Here is an 18,231-nt window from a genome sequence, read left to right on the forward strand (position 1 = left end):
CTTATGTATTCTGTGGTGCTTTAGTTTAAAAAAAAAAAATTGTCATTACCTTTCCCCAGCTCTGAAGGAAATTGAGATTAGTAAAAGTATTATGAGAATAGTATTCTTTTCCACTTTTGACAGCAGTGTGCAGTATTTACTTTTCTCAAGTACCCCTGTGTGCATTATTAAAGTACATTGTAGTTTTAATGATTGAACAGTATAAGAAAGTATTATTTATTCATGTTTTCGAAGTATTAATTGAATTCTAGACTGTTTCAGATAAAAATGTTTCCTCAGGTGTCACTTTTACCAAAGGTATCAATACAAGTGATTTTATTAGACAAGATTTTTTCTATGTATTAAAATATCAGTTTAATAATAACTATTCAGAGGAAGAAAAAGACACCATCTCAAGAAAAAGACACCATCTCATGAAATGCACACAGACTACATTCCAATTTTAGAAACATTAAAGTTTAAGAGTGGAAACAAGGAAATGTAGTATTTAAGTAATTAAGACTTCATTCCCTATTAGTGTTACAGATATTAAAGTTAAAAGATTAATTTGTAATTTGAAAATAAAACTGTTCTCTTTTTTACAGATATTTATTGATAGAGATCCAGCAGCATTTGCACCCATTTTAAATTTTCTTCGGACAAAAGAACTAGACTTAAGGTAAGAAATGCACTCTTTTTAAAGTAAATTCTTACTGATAAATATGTGTTTTTAATATGTTTTATGAAATAAAAGGTTTTTTTTGTTTGTTTTTTTTTTTCCTTGAGTTGCAGTCTTGCTCTGTTGCCCAGGCTGGAGTGCAGGAGTGCAGTGGCATGATCTCTGCTCACTGCAACCTCCGCCTTTCAGGTTCAAACAATTCTCCTGCCTCAGCCTCCCGAGTAGCTGGGACTGTAGGCACATGCCACCATGCCCGGCTGATTTTTTGTATTTTAGTAGAGAAGGGGTTTCACTGTGTTGCCCAGGCTGATTGCAAACGCCTGAGCTCAGGCAGTCTCCCCGCCTTAGCCTCCCAAAGTGCAGGGATTACAGGAATGAGCCACTACGCCCAGCCAGAAAAGGTTTTTTTTTTTTTACTAAGACTTTGATTAAAAGTTTCCTCACACTGAAACTGGATGTGGTGGTACACGCCTATAATCCCAGCTACTCTAGAGAAGAAGCTGAGGCAGGAGGATCCCTTGAGGCCGGGAGTTTGAGGCTGCAGTGAGTTATGATCATGCCTCTGGCCAGTACTGCTGTACTGTTAACACAAATAGTTTCGAAATAGAATAAGAAAGTTTGAAGCTTTTTTTTTTTGAGACTGAGTCTTACTCTGTCACCCAGACTCACTGCAATCTCCACCTCCCGGGTTCACGCCATTCTCCTGCCTTAGCCTCCCAAGTAGCTGGGACTACAGGCACCCGCCACCACACCCGGCTAATTTTTTTGTATTTTTAGTAGAGATGGGGTTTCACCGTTTTAGTCATGATGGTCTCCATCTCCTCACCTCGTAATCCACCCGCCTTGGCCTCCCAAAGTGCTGGGATTACAGGTGTGAGCCACCGCCCCCAGACACAAAGTTTTAAGCATTTTTAATGTTAAACTAGTCATAACCAGTTTCACAAATAAAAACAATTTAACATAGTAATTGTATATATTTATCAAGGCTGGGGAATATTTTTAAAATAAGGACAAATTACAACTGAAACCTAAGATGAATTATTAGTATTATAAGTTCTGAATCTTCCATTTTTTAAAAATTTTATTTCATGTTACTTAACTTTACTACTATGAAGTAGCATCATTTCATCTGGATAACATAGCCCTTCCCAAGGCTAGTCTTTTTTTTTTTTCTATTTTATTTGTTCAACAAATATTTATTACATAACTATTTTATACAAGCACTATGCTAGGCACTGTGAGGTATACAAACATAGATCAGAAATAGATCATGCTCGCAGGGAATTTATAGTGTAATTGGGGAGATTAAGATAGATATGTATAGAAATAATTGCGATAAAAAGTTAAAAGCAACTAATGCCATAAAAGAATGGTTTCCATTCTATCGTTTGCCTTCTAGACAATTTATTTGTACTAGCCTGATAGAGCCCTAATCTCTCCTTTAGTGACCCAATTCATATATATGTATATATATGAATGGTTTTTAAGTAGATAACAGAATATTTTTGTTCACATGCAGTTTTTATTTACACTTTTTAATGATTAAGGATAATAGAAATAAAGAGTATTAGGAGGAAAATAATTTTTAAAGCCTTATGACTATATACATGAAGAACCTAGAATTTTTTCCTTTCATGTCAGATGATAATACAGGTTTCCAGTGTTAGAGAATTTACATCATTTGTTTCTTTGTAGGGGAGTGAGTATTAATGTTCTCAGGCATGAAGCAGAATTTTACGGGATCACTCCATTAGGTATGTGCTCTTTTAATATTTGGTGTTTATGATTTGACTCATGTATGAAAGTTGCCCTAAATGAAATGTGTTTATATCAGGTCCTAATTTTTGATGGACTTGTTCAGTGCTTAGTTTTTGTGGATTTTCATAGTAAAAAGATGTTGTCAACTCTGACTTAATTAAAATTTTCCTTTTCTTTCCTTATCCTCTTGAACTAGAGAAAATAAAAATGGAGTACTGTTTTTCTGTTTGCATGTACTCTTGACAAGTTTGCTTTGAAATGTTTTTAGTAAGAAGGCTTCTCTTATGTGAAGAATTGGAGCGTTCCTCTTGTGGCAGTGTCCTTTTTCATGGTTACTTGCCCCCACCAGGTATTTTCACTTTATTAAATCTTTTAAAAAATTCCTTGTATCATTAAGCAAGTACAAGCATATGAATAGGAAAAACTGCTCCTTGATTATTGAGTTTTTTGTCTATAAATCTATTAGAAATGGTAAGAACTTTTGATTTTTATAGAAATTAAGTCACATTATATATTGGAGCAGGGGTTTGGCAAACTTTTTCTGTAAAGAGCCAGATAGATTTTGTGAGCCAGAGGATCTCTGTGACAGCCACTTAACTCCGCTGTGTATACTACATGAAGACTAGGTTTAACTGTAACCACTACAACTTTATTTACATAAATAGCATTGATTGGGCTGGATTTTCCATGGCCCATAGTTTGCTGACCCATATGTTAGAGCACTGGTTGTCAAACTGCTTTTTTGCAAAATTTAAGGAATTCTGCAGAGATAAGTCAGTGTCACCTCAGCCCCACTTTAGTTAGAAGAGCCTGATTTTACCTGTGTTATAATGGACTTCTGAGCAAGATTTCATTTTAAAAAATGTTCCCCTGTCAAATAAAAAATGTTTGAAAGTATGGGGAATTTCAGTTCTAAAGCAGTTAAATTATTACATAGTACCTAACACATAATACCTGTACCATAATTGTAAAGAGTGGCTGGCAGACTGAATTAATTACCCATTAATTCAGTAACCTAAAGCTTATTTATTGTAAACAGTATGACAATACCAGAAATCTGTTGACAGAATTTTGTCTTTGTCTTTGTTTTTTTCATTTTCATTTTATTTTTTAATTGTAATTAAATTATTTGTAATAATTTGCTATATTGGAAGATGTATTTCGGCTTTAATGAAATTCACATTTTTGTTTCTTTGTCACAATGTGATATTTTTAATTTTTGAAAGGTGAACTTAGGAATGTATTTGTTTTCTTCTTCTCTTTATAGGTATTCCTAGTCGTAAAATAAACAACACAGTCAGATCTGCTGATTCTAGGAATGGTCTAAATTCTACAGAAGGTGAAGCCCGGGGAAATGGTACACAGCCTGTTCTCTCTGGAACGGGAGAAGAAACTGTTAGGCTAGGTAAGCAAAGATTACAGAAATAGAAAAAGAAAAATACGTATGTTTTTAGTGCTGGGTGATATTGAGTAATTACTTTTAAAGATTTTTGCCTCATCTCCTTTTTTATCCAGATTTATCATTTATATCTTGGAAAGGTCTCATTTAACACTTAATTTTTATTTAAAATGTTGTGTAATCTTCTATCTTCTCTGAATCTTTAGAACAGGGTTGCCAAAATTTATCTGGTAAGAGCCAGAGATTAAATATTTTAGGCTTTGTGGGCCACGTGTTCTCTGTCAGACCTACTCAACTTTGCCATTGTAGCATGAACACATAATGGACAATATGTAACAAGTAAGCATGGCTGGGTTCTAACAAAACTATTTTTTTTTTTTTTTTTGAGACGGAGTCTCGCTCTGTCGCTCAGGCTGGAGTGCAGTGGTGCCATCTTGGCTCACTGCAAGCTCTGCCTCCTGGGTTTACGCCATTCTCCTGCCTCAGCCTCCGGAGTAGCTGGGACTACAGGCGGCCGCCACCATGCCAGACTAATTTTTTGTATTTTTAATAGAGATGAGGTTTCACCGTGTTAGCCAGTATGGTCTCGATCCCCTGACCTCATGATCCGCCCGCCTCGGCCTCCCAAAGTGCTGGGATTACAGGTGTGAGCCACTGTGCCCGGCTCTTAACAAAACTATTAACCAAAACAGGCAGAAGGCTGAAACTGGCCTGGTGGCTGTAATTTGCCAACCCCCGGTTTAGAATGTAAAATATTTCTTTTTCCAAAATCAACAGGATTTCCTGTGGATCCACGAAAGGTGCTAATAGTAGCTGGCCATCACAACTGGATTGTAGCTGCATATGCCCATTTTGCTGTGTGTTACAGGTAGTGTATAATTAATAATGCTTTGCTTTTACAGGTGGCAGTTTGAAAATTAATTGTGATTTTATATTTTTAGATTGAAAAGCTATTTTTTTTTAGTCATCAAGTTTTTTCCCTGCATATTTTACCCATGTCTGTATCATCTGATTAAGATTTAGTGTACTTTTATTTTCACAGCTAATTTGGTAAATGTTTCTGATAGCCTTTATCTGTTGTAAACATTTAGCAGACAAGTGTGAATTGTCATGTAACTGAGATATCCTGATGTATTATTTATTGCTTATACCTAGCTTCTGAGACTGTAGTATATAATGATGTTAGACAGGATTATTAATGTGAGCTCCCTGATGGTCTATCTCTAATGATTCAGTGTTTTGTATTCTATAGCAAGGGAGAGTACATTGGTCATAAATACCACATTTTGGGAAGTGAGGTAGTAAAGCAGGACAGTTATTGCACAAGTGGTATAGTTTAATATCTAATATGTGAAACTTACAAAGAAGTAGTTTGGTTTTACTAATGCTTACATTCTCAGAGCCTGAGAAGCAATGAAGAATAGTGTAGACCGGTGATTTTTTTTTTTTTAATTGGGAAAGTGATAGGACTCTTAGTTCAAAATCACTGTACTCATTGAGAAATGTTGATGACAGAGAATGGTGTAGAAGCACAAAAGTGGTTGGAATATACTAGCTTAGATTATTATTTCATTTAATTGCAGAAAAATCAAAGATACATAAACTATTTGTTTATCACTGTTGAGTTCGGTTAAGAAAAATAGTCACAATAAGCTGAAAAATATCTAAAATGTCTTCTAAAGTTTACAGATATAGTTTAAAGAATCCCAGATGTATTTTTTTTTTAAAAATCTGAATTTATGAAAGGTTTGGCATGTCTGGTAAGTGCTGTTTATATCAGTAATCTCAGGTTTATATTTTCCTTGTAGTAATGATTAAGTGCAGACTTTTATGTTTTAAGAGTGTTTTGGCTGGGCACGGTGGGTCACGCCTGTAATCCCAGCACTTTGGGAGGCCGAGATGGGTGGAGTTCAAGATCAGCCCGACCAACATGGTGAAACCCCATCTCTACTGAAGATACAAAAATTAGCCAGGTGTGGTGATGCATGCCTGTAATCCCAGCTACTCGGGAGGCTGAGGCAGGAGAATCACTTGAACCCAGGAGGTGGGGGTTGCAGTGAGCTGATAGCTCACCATTGTACTCCAACCTGCGCAACAGAGCAAGACTCTGTCTCAATAAATAAATAAACAAATTTTTAAAAAAAGTGTTTTGTGGATTTGTAATTTTAATTATGAAATAGCATGGAAATTGTTTTTTGCATAATTTCTTTGGGGATGGTTTTGTATGAGGCAAGACTAATTTGGTAAAGTAATTTTTTTTTAGGAAGCATTGTTTTGAATTTATCATCTTATATATTTGAATTGAGGTGACTTGTAGACCCTTGTTTACATATTATGTACATATTTTTGTCAATAAGGAATTCCAGAAGAATTGTGAAATGATAAGTGATCCAAGTGTAACAGCATAACTTCCGTTTTGTTACTGTACACAATACTAAAGATTGCTCTTTTCCAGAACCACCACATTATTACGCAAAATTTAACTCACTGGGTAATAATTGTATGGAGGATGATGCTATTACATTTTCCAGTCTTTGCGTTTGCATTGATCACGATCTTTCTGTGCTTTCACCAAGTGTCTGACATTTCAGAGCAATATACTCATGTAAAGTGACGAAGGAAGACAATTGAGGACATATTTGGATTTCCTCACATATAGTTAAATCATTCAACACAATGGCAATAAAAAGATTTCAAAAGAAAGAAAAATATTTAAACTGTTTAAAAGTGTAATCTTTTTTACAAGTTATTTTTCCTCAAGTTTTTGTATCAGTAAGTTACAAAACCTTTAAAAAAAGAGTAGTACAGTGAAGACCTGTATGATGTTCTCCTAGCTTCACTAATTTTCTACATGGTTAGGTTTTATGTTTATGTCCCTTTTTCTTGCTGAGTTTATGACAGTGTTACTTCTATTAACGAAGAGTAGTTGTGTGAATTGCTGCCCCCTTGGGGCTTATATTCCACTTTAGATCTTTAATCCTTGTGGAGTTTACTTTTTTGTATGTGGTATGAGATTTAAGGATTTATTTTCTTCTCAGTGGGTAGGTAATTATGTTCTGACAATTTATTACGTAAATCATTCTTTGTCAGTGAATCTGATAGCCCATTTTATCTTGCTTTATGTGTGTGTATATACTTGGATCTGTTTTTCAGTTCTCTCATTTCCTTAAGACATATGTCTATTCTCATACAACTTGAGGTGAAGTATGTTCATAATAAGTTTCAAAATCTCACAGGGCATGTCCTCTCTACTGTATTTTATTGAGGTCTTCATGTAGGAAATAACTAGACGTAACTCTATTCTTCGCATAGCTGTCTTAACCAGAGGGTTGGTTCACTAGGCAGCAGTAAGATGATGGAGAGGTGAAATAACAGAGCATATTCTTGTTTTATATTTTGTTTTATTTATTATTATATATTTTTTGTTTTGTTTTGTTTTTGAGATTTTGAGACAGAGTCTTGCACTGTCACCCAGGCTAGAGTGCAGTGGCGTGATCTCGGGTCACTGCAACACCTGCCTCCTGGGTTCAAGCAATTCTCCCACCTCAGCCTCCTGAGTAGCTGGGACTACAGGTGTGCACCACCACACCTGGCCAATTTTTGTATTTTTAGTAGAGACGGGGTTTCACCATGTTGGCCAGACTGTTTTCAAACTCCTGATCTCAAGTGATTCACCCGCCTCAGCCTTCCAAAGTGCTGGGATTCCAGGCGTGAGCCACTGTGCCTGGCCTTGTTCTACATATTTTAAATGTATTACTTGTATGGAAAGTTATAGAGCAAATATGTACCTTCTTTGTAATTTTTTAAAAAACAGGTAAATTCACATATCTTATTAAGAGTTAAATTCTGTAGTTGTTATAGTTATTTTTAAATATGCTGTCCTGATTCTTTTATCCTTTTTTGACATCTCTTTATTGTGTAATACCCTAATTACTATAGAGAAAAACAACTTAGAAGTAATATGTCTGTAAAAGATGAGATTATATAGTTTTTTTTTTTAAGTGAATCCAAGTTTATTAAGAAAGTAAAGGAATAAAAGAATGGCTACTCCATAGCCAGAGCAGCCCTGAGGGCTGCTTGACTGAGTATACTTACAGTTATTTCTTGATTATATACTAAATAAGGGGTGGATTATTCATGAGTGTTTCAGAAAGGAGCAGGCAATTCCCAGAACTGAATGTTCCTCCCCTTTTTAGACCATATAGGGTAACTTCCAGACATTAGATGTCATTTGTAAACTATCATGGGGCTGGTGAGAGTGTCTTTTAGCATGATAATGCATTATAATTAGCGTATAATGAGCAGTGAGGACGACCAGAGGTCACTTTTGTTGCCATCTTGGTTTCAGTTTTGGCTGGCTTCTTTACTCCGTCCTGTTTTGTCAGCGGGATCTTTGTGACCTTTACCTTGTGCTGACCTTCCTTGTTACGCTGTGACTAAGAATGCCTAACCTCCTGGGAATGCAGCCCAGCAGGTCTCAGCCTTATTTTACTCAGTCCCCATTCAACTCTGGTTTGAACACCTCTGACATGTTTTCCCCTTCCCTTTTACAAGGGTACTCTTAATCCTAAGGGTTTCAGAGGGAGGAAGATTCATCTTCTGTAACTTCTGCAGTCTGAATAGGGATGATGGTATTTCTGCCTATTAGGGTCTTCTGCATTCAGAGTAGAGGAGAGCTCAGTTAGAAACTGTCAGTATGGTGAGAACTCTGATTTCTGACAAAAAGTGATGACTGAAAAATTAATAAGTGTTCGATTTAAGAAAGCACTGAGTAAGCTTATCTTGCATTCCTACACAAAGAGAACAACAGCAGTATATTCTACAATAACAAGGCAAAATAAGTAAAATTATCCCAAGTAAACTAAATAAGAAGGCTTTTCATGAACTGGGAAATTGTTGTAACCAAGCTGATATGGAGTTGGAACCAAGCTGATGTGCTAGCCAATTCCAATACATGCCCACAATTAGAATACTGATCCAGATTTCTGTGTTACCCATGCCTCTTGTTTCTTCTGAACAGCAGCCACAGATCACTGCTTGGTCCACAAGGATAAGCAGGATGAGTCCAAATTGCAGAAAGAACTCAAAAACTACTGATGAGACAAATCTAATAAAAAGCATACCATAGTTTTTGAAACAATTTTCCTATTTTCAGTCTTTCATTTTTACTAAAGAAATCATGGTAGGACTGATTTGTTTGCAAAATAAGCTTTAGTCTTATTATACTTGGCCTGATTATTTGTATAAAGTGCAGCAAGAATAATTAGTTCCTATATAGGCTCTTTTTAAATTGACTTTGATAGAACTTTGATCCATAAAGAATCTCAAATGAGACTTCTTAAAGCCTTGAGCCTTGCCATGGGTTTATCATTGCCTGCAAATACCTGTATGAGTTGGGTAAGTTTCTTTCCTTTTGAGGTTTCATGATAACTTGGGGCTTTTGGGCCTGTCAGAAAGTGACTTTCTTTACTTACCCCAGACAGGTCAGAAACCTTGTACAGGGACCGTGTAGACAAGATATGTGGCCAGTTTTTCCCAGGGGCTTTTATCAGCTCTATGAGTCAAATTTGATTCCTTAAACAAGTCCATATCTGAAAGCATGCTATTCCAGTCAAAGTCTTGGTAAAATAACCAGTTTCTCCAATTGTGTCCTGTTACAAAAGAAAACAGATTCTTATTGTAGTTACATATTGCTGTAAGTTAAGAATACTCACAAATAGTTTCCAAATTCTGGAGAAATCAGATAGAGAGAAAGAAATATGCTCCAAATTTTGTTTATAAGAGTATACTTTACTCAGTTGTTAAAAGCTGCAAAATCTCGAAAGAAAAGTGTTCTTGACTCCAAAGTCAGCTAATTGGTGCTGCAGTCTATTTCCTTTGGGTTGGGGGTCTCTCCACTATCTCATTTCATGGTTTCCCAGGAAGATGTTACTGGAAAGGGGTCCTCATCCAGACCCCCAAAAAAGAGTTCTTGGATCTCTCACAAGAAAGAATTCAGGGTGAGTCCTTAGAGTAAAGTGAAAGCAAGTTCATTAAGAAAGTAAAAGAATAAGAGAATGTCAGCAAATTTTAGTGTTTATTAGGTAAGTATTTAAGTATTTTCATTTGTTTATCTTAACAAATGAATCCCATCTGGTGGCTGAAGAGGGTGGTTACAAATTACACAATGCTTAGGAAAAATTGATACATTTTTCTCTATTGCTTTGAAGTTTAGGGAAATCATTAGTTCTTCAAATTAATATGCTCAATTGTATATTCTTATGAATTACAGTTGTATTACTTGGCATACATATTTAAGGGAAAATGAAGTTGATGTATTTTTATTTAGGCCCTTAGGTGACCATCATTTATGAATACCTAAGTTTGCTTTTTGCAGCGAATGTCAGGTAGTGTGCAAAAGAACGCTTCTTTTCCTTCATCTTCTATATTCTCTTTAGGTAAGCCAAAAGAGAAATTTTATAGTTATGTTTGCATTATTTGTTGAGTTTAAAAATAGATACTTCATAGTTCAACTCATTCATTATTATGATTACGTAACTGCTAAAGCTCTAAATGTATGAAGGCTGCTATACATATAATCGCATAGAAAACATTTCTTTAAAACCTAAATTCAGATAGGGCAGAAAGAATTATTAAAAACTGACAGGATATTTATTAGAGAAATTAGGTATTAAAGAATACATTAGCTTTTACATATGGGTAGTCATATGGAACTGTAGTTCCATAGAGTTTTGCATTTAGACCTTTAAAAACTAGTCTTCAGAGGATATCCTGCACCCTATCCTTTTTTATATAATAGTGCTAATGTATTGGAATGCATGTGATACACTCAGTGTTTCTGGATAGACTGTCCATCTGAAGTACAAAAAGCAAGAGATTCAGTATGTGTCATTTCAGTTAATAAACCCTGAAAAGCTGATTAATAACTGAAAGGAATAATAATTCTGAAATTCAGATTTTTGCTGATTGTTCATACTCACAGAAGATGACAGTATCATTTGTGTGTGTGTGCGTGTGTGTAGAGAAACATGAAAGATAAAACTATCTTTTTTTAAAGTTTCTGAAATTTTTTAAAATTTGGAGGACTTTACTAAATTATTCTTTGGGGAAATATAGAACTGTAGTCTCTTTCAAGTCGTTATATGTGCTATGTATGCAAGTATACAATACCCCAAGGATAATATTGTGGCTTCATAGGCAATATAGATCAACAAAATTTTATTTGTAATAGGAAGGTGGATGGGTAACTGTTTAGTTTTTTTTTTGTTTTTTGTTGTTGTTTTTTGTTTTTGGTGCATTGATGTGTATTCCGTTTGCTTCATTGCTGCTGAGTCTACCTTATGTGCCTGTTCTTCCTTAACAGAATCAAAGAATCTTCAGGATGGCAGCAAGTGTTTACGAGCCCATATTTGGATTGGACTATCGAACGAGTAGCTTTAAATGCAAAGGTGGTTGGAGGGCCACATGGAGACAAAGACAAAATGGTTGCTGTTGCCTCAGAGAGTAGCATCATCTTGTGGAGTGTTCAGGATGGGGGAAGTGGAAGTGAAATTGGTAGGAAGAATCTTGTTTATGTTGCAATTTGATGATATTAATATTTTGAAGTTTATAAAAGAGATTGACACTGAATATGAAAATTAACCTGGACTGTCAGTTAGCTAGAGCTGTCACAGTATTTAATGTGGGAGGAATGATCTGATAATGAAGGAAAAATGATGTTTTAGAAAAGACATGGGGAACATCTTTTCACCACTTTAAGTGAAACCTGGCTGCTCTATGAAAATATTGCTTTTCCTGAATCCCACTTAGTGGTGGATGTTTTCACTGTTTTCTCTCCACCCCTCTCAAACTACTGAACCTGAATGTGGGGTAAGTCACTTTCTTGCTCCTCATTGTTGCTTCTAGACCAGACATTCCCAAACTTTTTGGTTTCAGAACCCCTTAATCCTCTTAAAAAGTTACTCAGGACCTGAAAGAATGTAGGTTATTTTCTTTTTTTTCCTTTTTTTTTTTTTTGAGACTGAGTCTCGCTCTGTCGCCCAGGCTGTAGTGCAATGGCATGATCTCAGCTCACTGCAACCTCTGCCTCCTGGGCTCAAGCAATTCTCCTGCCTCAGCCTCCCAAGTAGCTGGGACTACAGGCACATGCCACCACGTCCAGCTAATTTTTTTGTGTTTTTAATAGAGATGGGTTTCACCATGTTAGCCAGGATGGTCTCGATCTCCTGATCTTGTGATCCGCCCACCTCGGCCTCCCAAAGTGCTGGAATTACAGGCGTGAGCCACCATGCCCGGCCTTTCTGTAGGTTATTTTCTATCAGTATTTACTATATTAGAAATTAAAATGGAAATTTTTATAAATGTTAATATAGTTATAATAATCCATTGCATAACTTAAGTAACATTTTTAATGAGAACCTCATTTTCCAAAAATGTGTGAGAAGAATGGCATTGGTTTACAGTTTTGTAAATCTCTTTTTGAACTGTGATATCTATTTCTGCATTCAATCTGCTGTGATACATTGTTTTGATTGAAGTATATGAAGAAAACTTGATCTTACACAGATATGTAGTTGGAAAAAACTTTTTTCAGTCTTTTCAGAAAATTGTGCATAGTCTTCTTTGATTCTTTATCAAAACTCTAAAATCATATCAGTGAACTTTTCATATTCTGTTAAATTAAAATCCATCAGACTATTTTGTACTTTGAGTGGATCTTTTATCATACATGCTTTTATAAGATGTTGGGCATTTGGAAATTGTTGGTTTGCTGAGTTATGTAGATCTACCAAATGTTGATACCTTTCATTGTATAATATGAAAAAAAATTGCATTCATTGGTATCCCTGCTGACTACGTGTGAGGGAGTTGTCACACTCACTGTGGCAGATAAAAGTTTTCCAAACTGCAGATTTTCACTTGAAACGTTGAATTTTTATCATTGGCAACAAATAACATCAGTGGTTTTCCTTTAGATAACAGGCTTACTTTGTTTATTTTTTGAGGATAGTTCTGCCAAACACCCAATTCTGAATAACCATAGTCATCTCAAATTAAAATGGTACTTAATGAACAGAGCAGCTCCTGTAGCTCTTTGCTCCAGCATTTGTGAAGGTGCTTTTCCTTGACATAGCCATAGTACTTAGTCATACAGAATATTAAGATATATAGTTGAAATTAAGTTTTTATCAGTACAAATTTTTACTGCTTCATCAAGGACATTCTTTAGTTACTAAGACCATTACATTCTCTGCCACAGACTTTCGGGAACATAAAAGGCCAAATCTTTAATTTAATCTTTAAATCTTTGATTTGGCCTTTTATGTTCTTGAAAGTCTATGGCAGAGAAGAATGCAATGGTCACTAGTAAAGTTTAGTGCCACTGTCCTGGTTTGTGCTAAGTAAGGTACCTGCTGTTTTTACCAAACGTTGCTTTGCATCATCAGTGTAAATGTCAACACAGATGTTCTAGAATAAGCCATGAAATTCATATAAGTTTTCAACACTTTGACTATTTCAGCACTTCCTGTGTTTGTAGCTATGCATTCACATAAAGGATTTTTAATGATCAGTTGGAGCTAATACCAGATGGGTACAAGTAAAACACCAGGTCTAGCTAATACCAGCTGGATACAAGTAAAATACCAGGTCCAGCCACATCTATATATTCATCTGTTTGCAAGGCAAAAATACAATTCTACAGACAAGAGATTGACTCTCTGCCAAATCTTTAGATTGAAGAGTTACTGTATTATTGAAAAGTTACCATGTTATTTCTTCATGGACTTTTCATCTAGCAGGCATTCAGCATTGTCATCTGTTCAAGGCTTTATTAGTCTCTCAGCAATTGGGTATACTTCTCTAGCCACTGTGATGTCGTAACTTACCTTTGAGATACTTCATTAGATTTTTCATTTCTAGTTTGAAGGTCTATACCAAACAATTTCTGGATTAAATGAGTTTTTTACATCTTTATTTAAAATACTTAATTTCTTTTTCTTCTTTTCTTTCCTTTTTTTTCTGAGACAGGGTCTTGCTCTGTCACACAGGCTGGAGTGCAGTGATGTGATCCTAGCTCACTGCATCCTCAACCTCCTGGGCCCAGGCACTCAAGCAGTCCCCCCACCTCAGCCTCCTTAGTAGCTAGAACTACAGGCAGGCACCACCACGCCTGGCTATTATTTTTTAATCACTGTATAGATAGGGTCTCACTATGTTGCCCAGGTCTTGAATTCCTAAGCTTTAGTGATCCTGCTACCTTGGCTTTCCAAAGTGCTGGGATTACAGGCATGAGTCGCTGTGCCTGGCCAATTTCTTTTTGTTTAAACTCTTGGGTATTCAGTCTCAGTGAACCTACAACCGATAGATACTATGCAAAAATGTTTTGCTACATAAAGCACAATAAGGTTAAGTTATTAAGATCTATAAAGTTGAGGGAAGATTCCAGATTCCCAGAAGGAAAGAAGGTGTCCAACATAAACTGCATTGTTTATGCAGTTAGGCTTTTTGTCACCATAGATTAGGTTTCCTTTATCTAGAATTTCATGAGTAGAATTATATAGTATTTATTCTTTTGTGCCTGGCTTTTTATTAAGCATAATGCTTTTGAAATTCATCCATGTTGTTGCATGTATCAGTTGTCTGTTCCTTTTTATTGCTGAGTAGTATTCCATTGAAATAATACGGCAGAATTTGTTTATCCATTCACCCGTTGATAGACATTTGGCTTATTTCCAATTTGGAGATATTATGAATAAAGCTGCAGTTAACATTCAAGTAGAAGTCTTTCTGTGGACATTTACTTTCTTAAGGTAAATATATAGGAGTGGAATTTCTTAGTCATATGGAAAGTGTATGTTTAAGGTTAAGAAAAACTGCCAAACTGTTTTCCAAAAGTACCTTTTTACATTTTTACTTGCAGTGTGTGAGAGTCCCAGGTTCTCCACATCCTAATCAACACTTTGTATTGTCAGTCTTTTTAATTTGAGCCATTATTGTGGATTTTAATGGTTCAGTGATTTTAATTGTGGCTTTAACTGCATTTTTCTGATGATTAATAATATTAAGCATCGTTTCCTGTACTTAATGACCGTTTGTATATTTTCTTTTGAGAAGTGTCTCTGTAAATCATTTGCCCTTTTTAATGAGGTTGTCATCCTGTTACTTATTTGTAAATGTTTTTTACATATTCTAGATTTGTGTTTCACAACCAAGGAAATCTTATCCACCAAAGGATATTTGAAAATGTCTAGAGACATTTTTGGTTGACACAGTTGAGGGAGGCCTGTACCTGTCTCCCTTCCTCTTTTCTCCATCTCTCCCTTGCTCGCTCCCTCTTCCTCCTTTTGAGCTTTCTAGATCACTTTATATTAACCTGGGGTTGTGGGAGCCCTGATTTTTTATTTCATTTTTTTCTCCATTCTTCAGTTTAGATATCTTTTATTGATCTACCTTTAATGTCTTTTATACTTCTACAGTATTCAATCTGCAGTTAAGTTCATCTAGTGAATTTTCATCTGAAATGTTGGACTTTTTAGCTCTAGTATTACTTTTTGATTCCATTTTCTAGTTTGTTTCTTCTGCTAAGATTTCTTGTCTTTTTGTTCATTATGTTCAGCTGTTTAATTTGTTAAAGTATTTGTCTGCTAATATCAATATCTGGTTACCATGTTTTTATTTTGGGTCACATTTTCCTGTTTCACATGTCTAGAGAGTTTTGATTATGTGCTGTACTTGTGTGTGATACATTTTGTAGGGTTATGAATTATGTTACCTTTCTTTAAAAGTTATGAGCTTTGTTCTGGCAGGCAATTAAATTACTAAAGGATCTTGAACCTGTTAGGCTTGTTTCAGTACTTTGTTAGGAGTAGGTATCCTCTTCTAGCTTTATTTGTAATTTTAGGGCAGGGCTCCTTTTCAAGGCTGTAGTTCTTATTTTTAAGATGTTGCTTTTCTGGAATCTTATTTAACTGAATGCCAGAGGGGCTCAGCAAGAACTCTCTACTTTTATTGAGTTGGAACTACTCCATCTACCCACATATGACCTCTGATATCTGATATCTCCAGTTACCTTAGTCCTAAAGCAGCTATCTCCCGTTACCTCTTAGTCCTAAAGCAGCCTTTCTTTCTTTTCTTTCTCTCTCTCTCCTTCCTTCTTTCCTTCCTTCCTTCCTTCCTTCCTTCCTTCCTTCCTTCCTTCCTTCCTTCCTTCCTTCTCTCTTTCTCTCTTTCTTCTCTTTCTTTCTTAGACAGAATCTCACTCTGTCTCCAGGCTGGAGTGCAGTGGCGTGATCATGGCTGACTGCAACCTCCGCCTCCCAGGTTCAAGGGATTCTCCTGCCTCAGCCTCTCGAGTAGCTGGGACTACAGGCACATGCCACCACGCCCAGCTAATTTCTGTATTTTTAGTAGAGACAGGTTTCACCATCTTGACCAAGATAGTCTCGATCTCTTGACCTCGTAATCCGCCCGCCTCAGCCTCCGAAGTGCTGGGATTACAGGCGTGAGCCACCGCGCCCGGCCAGCAGCCTTTCTTTCCTTGAGGATTCTTGCCCTGCCCAGGTGCAGTTAGGCCTTAGCCAAGGTCTTAGGGAAACGCTTATGCAACTTTTATGCCACCCCTCTGGCACAGTTCCCTTCCTTCTTGTACTGTATCTACTAACTCTAGCCTCAAGTTCTTCGCCTCCTCAGTTCAGGGAAATCATCTGTCTTTATTTGGTATATTAGTCCGTTTTCACACTGCTGATAAAGACATACTCAAAACTGGGAAATTCACAAAAGAAAGAGGTTTAATTGGACTTACAGTTCCACATGGCTGGGGAGGCCTCACAATCATGGCAGAAGGCAAGGAGGAGCAAGTCACATCTTATGTGGATGGCAGCAGGCAAAGAGAGCTTGTGCAGAGAAACTCCTGTTTTTAAAACCAGATCTTGTGAGACAATCCATTCCCTATCACAAGAACGACAAAGGAAAGACCTGTCCCCATGATTCAGTCATTTCCCATGGGGTTCCTCTCACAACACCTGGGAACTACAGGAGCTACAAGATGAGATTTGGGTGGGGCACAGAACCAAACTGTATCACTTAGGTCTCACCTTTCTATGCTGTGATAGAAAGTACTCTTATGCAGCAAGCCAGGGGGAATGTGGGGCTTGTCAGTGTGTTTCTGTCTCTCAGGTCCTCTGCTGCCTGTTGTCCAATACCTAAAAACAGTTGTTTCATATATTTTGTCCATTTTTTTTTTTGTTGTTACTGCTGTTTTAAAGTGGAGAATAATCGGGTGCCATTTATTCTATCGTGATCGACAGCTTAAGTCCTCCCAAACAACTTTAAGAAAAGAAAATTTAACATAAAAAATTTTGAAATTATAATACACTGGTAATTAAACAGAAGGTAAATCAGTTGTGATTTCTTTTTCCTTTTTCAAGTAGCTATTTGTAACATACCAATAAGTGAAAGAAATTTTATTACTTGCTTGGTGTTCAAAGGCTAATGTGATAGGTAGCTATGTTATGAGCTGGTACAATAGTAATTTGTTCATGCCCTGTAAAAGGAGCCATTTGTTGTTAACAAATATTCTTCAGAACATGACAACACTATCCAAAGAAAATTGTTAGGGCTGGTATATCCATGATAAAGCTCTCCCAGAGGCTGAACTCCCTTCATTATAACTTAGATAAGACGAGAGTTACTGGGTTTCTGCTATAAGCAATATTTTACCAAGAGGGCCCCTTAAGACAGGAACTGGTCATTACTTCTGTTGTCTTCCCTGTCACTGGTGCTCAGGATTGTTTAGCCTAAGCAGGAGTGACACTTTAAATTTCGTGAGACCATTCAGAGTGTCTTTGTTGATTTCCTAGAACCTCATCCTCCTCTGGAGTAATCGATGTTAGTTGGTTTTCCTGTTTTCATTTCTGCCTTTCACATAGCCCATAATACTGAATATAGTTGGCTTCACATGTTCTAAAAAGACATGTTCACATTGTTTGTTATCATCATTAAAGTACTATTATGTAGAATCCCTAAAATTGTATACAACGTAAAATAATGACTTTATGCTTTGAAGTGGCAGGTTCATTTCTTAACCAATTCTGGGCAACGGACTTAGCTTTGTGTGTGTGTGTTGTACTTTATTTTGTTCTAGTTTTTTGGGCTGAGATAATGTGTTTCATGCACATGCTTGTATAAATATGGATTTTATACATATAATTAAAAATGTTTATATAGAAGATACTTCTAACAATACTTAGCAGGTTTTTTGTTTTGGTTTCTTTTTGTCATGTATCGTCTTCTTGCTAGATGCCTTGCTTTTACAAGACTGATTAAAAGTTTTCAAGGTGTTGTTTGTCACTGGTCTTGAGTATAGTACAGTTCTGAACAAAAAGAGAATACCTAGCACCAGTATAAGATTCAAAAG

General features: G+C 36.2%; 1 protein-coding gene across 5 annotated transcripts in view, besides 1 other annotated feature; it reads left to right on the top strand.

Annotated features, from left to right (window-relative positions):
• The window catches only part of KCTD3 (potassium channel tetramerization domain containing 3), a 54,504-nt gene that overhangs the window by 8,013 nt on the left and 28,260 nt on the right, over window positions 1-18,231 (top strand). For 3 of the 5 annotated variants that reach the window (NM_016121.5, NM_001319294.2, XM_047422104.1), the window contains 6 exons: window positions 585-658; window positions 2,354-2,412; window positions 2,685-2,765; window positions 3,684-3,821; window positions 4,593-4,683; window positions 11,179-11,369. In NM_016121.5, the coding sequence (NP_057205.2) occupies window positions 585-658; window positions 2,354-2,412; window positions 2,685-2,765; window positions 3,684-3,821; window positions 4,593-4,683; window positions 11,179-11,369 (634 nt within the window). Of the gene's footprint in view, window positions 1-584; window positions 659-2,353; window positions 2,413-2,612; window positions 2,766-3,683; window positions 3,822-4,592; window positions 4,684-11,178; window positions 11,370-18,231 lie in introns of those variants that run through there. The other 2 variants (NM_001319295.2, XM_005273158.3) reach the window with 2 other exon arrangements.
• Window positions 7,987-9,186: an enhancer, noted in NCBI's record as "CDK7 strongly-dependent group 2 enhancer chr1:215756646-215757845 (GRCh37/hg19 assembly coordinates)". NCBI's record gives its function as "activates an origin of replication core promoter dependent on BRD2, BRD4, P300/CBP, MED14 and CDK7 cofactors, with strong dependence on CDK7, by STARR-seq in HCT116 cells {active_cell/tissue: HCT116}" and the evidence as "EXISTENCE:reporter gene assay evidence [ECO:0000049][PMID:35650434]".

This window comes from Homo sapiens, chromosome 1 (assembly GCF_000001405.40).
Source record: "Homo sapiens chromosome 1, GRCh38.p14 Primary Assembly".
Taxonomy (NCBI): Eukaryota; Metazoa; Chordata; class Mammalia; order Primates; family Hominidae; genus Homo; species Homo sapiens.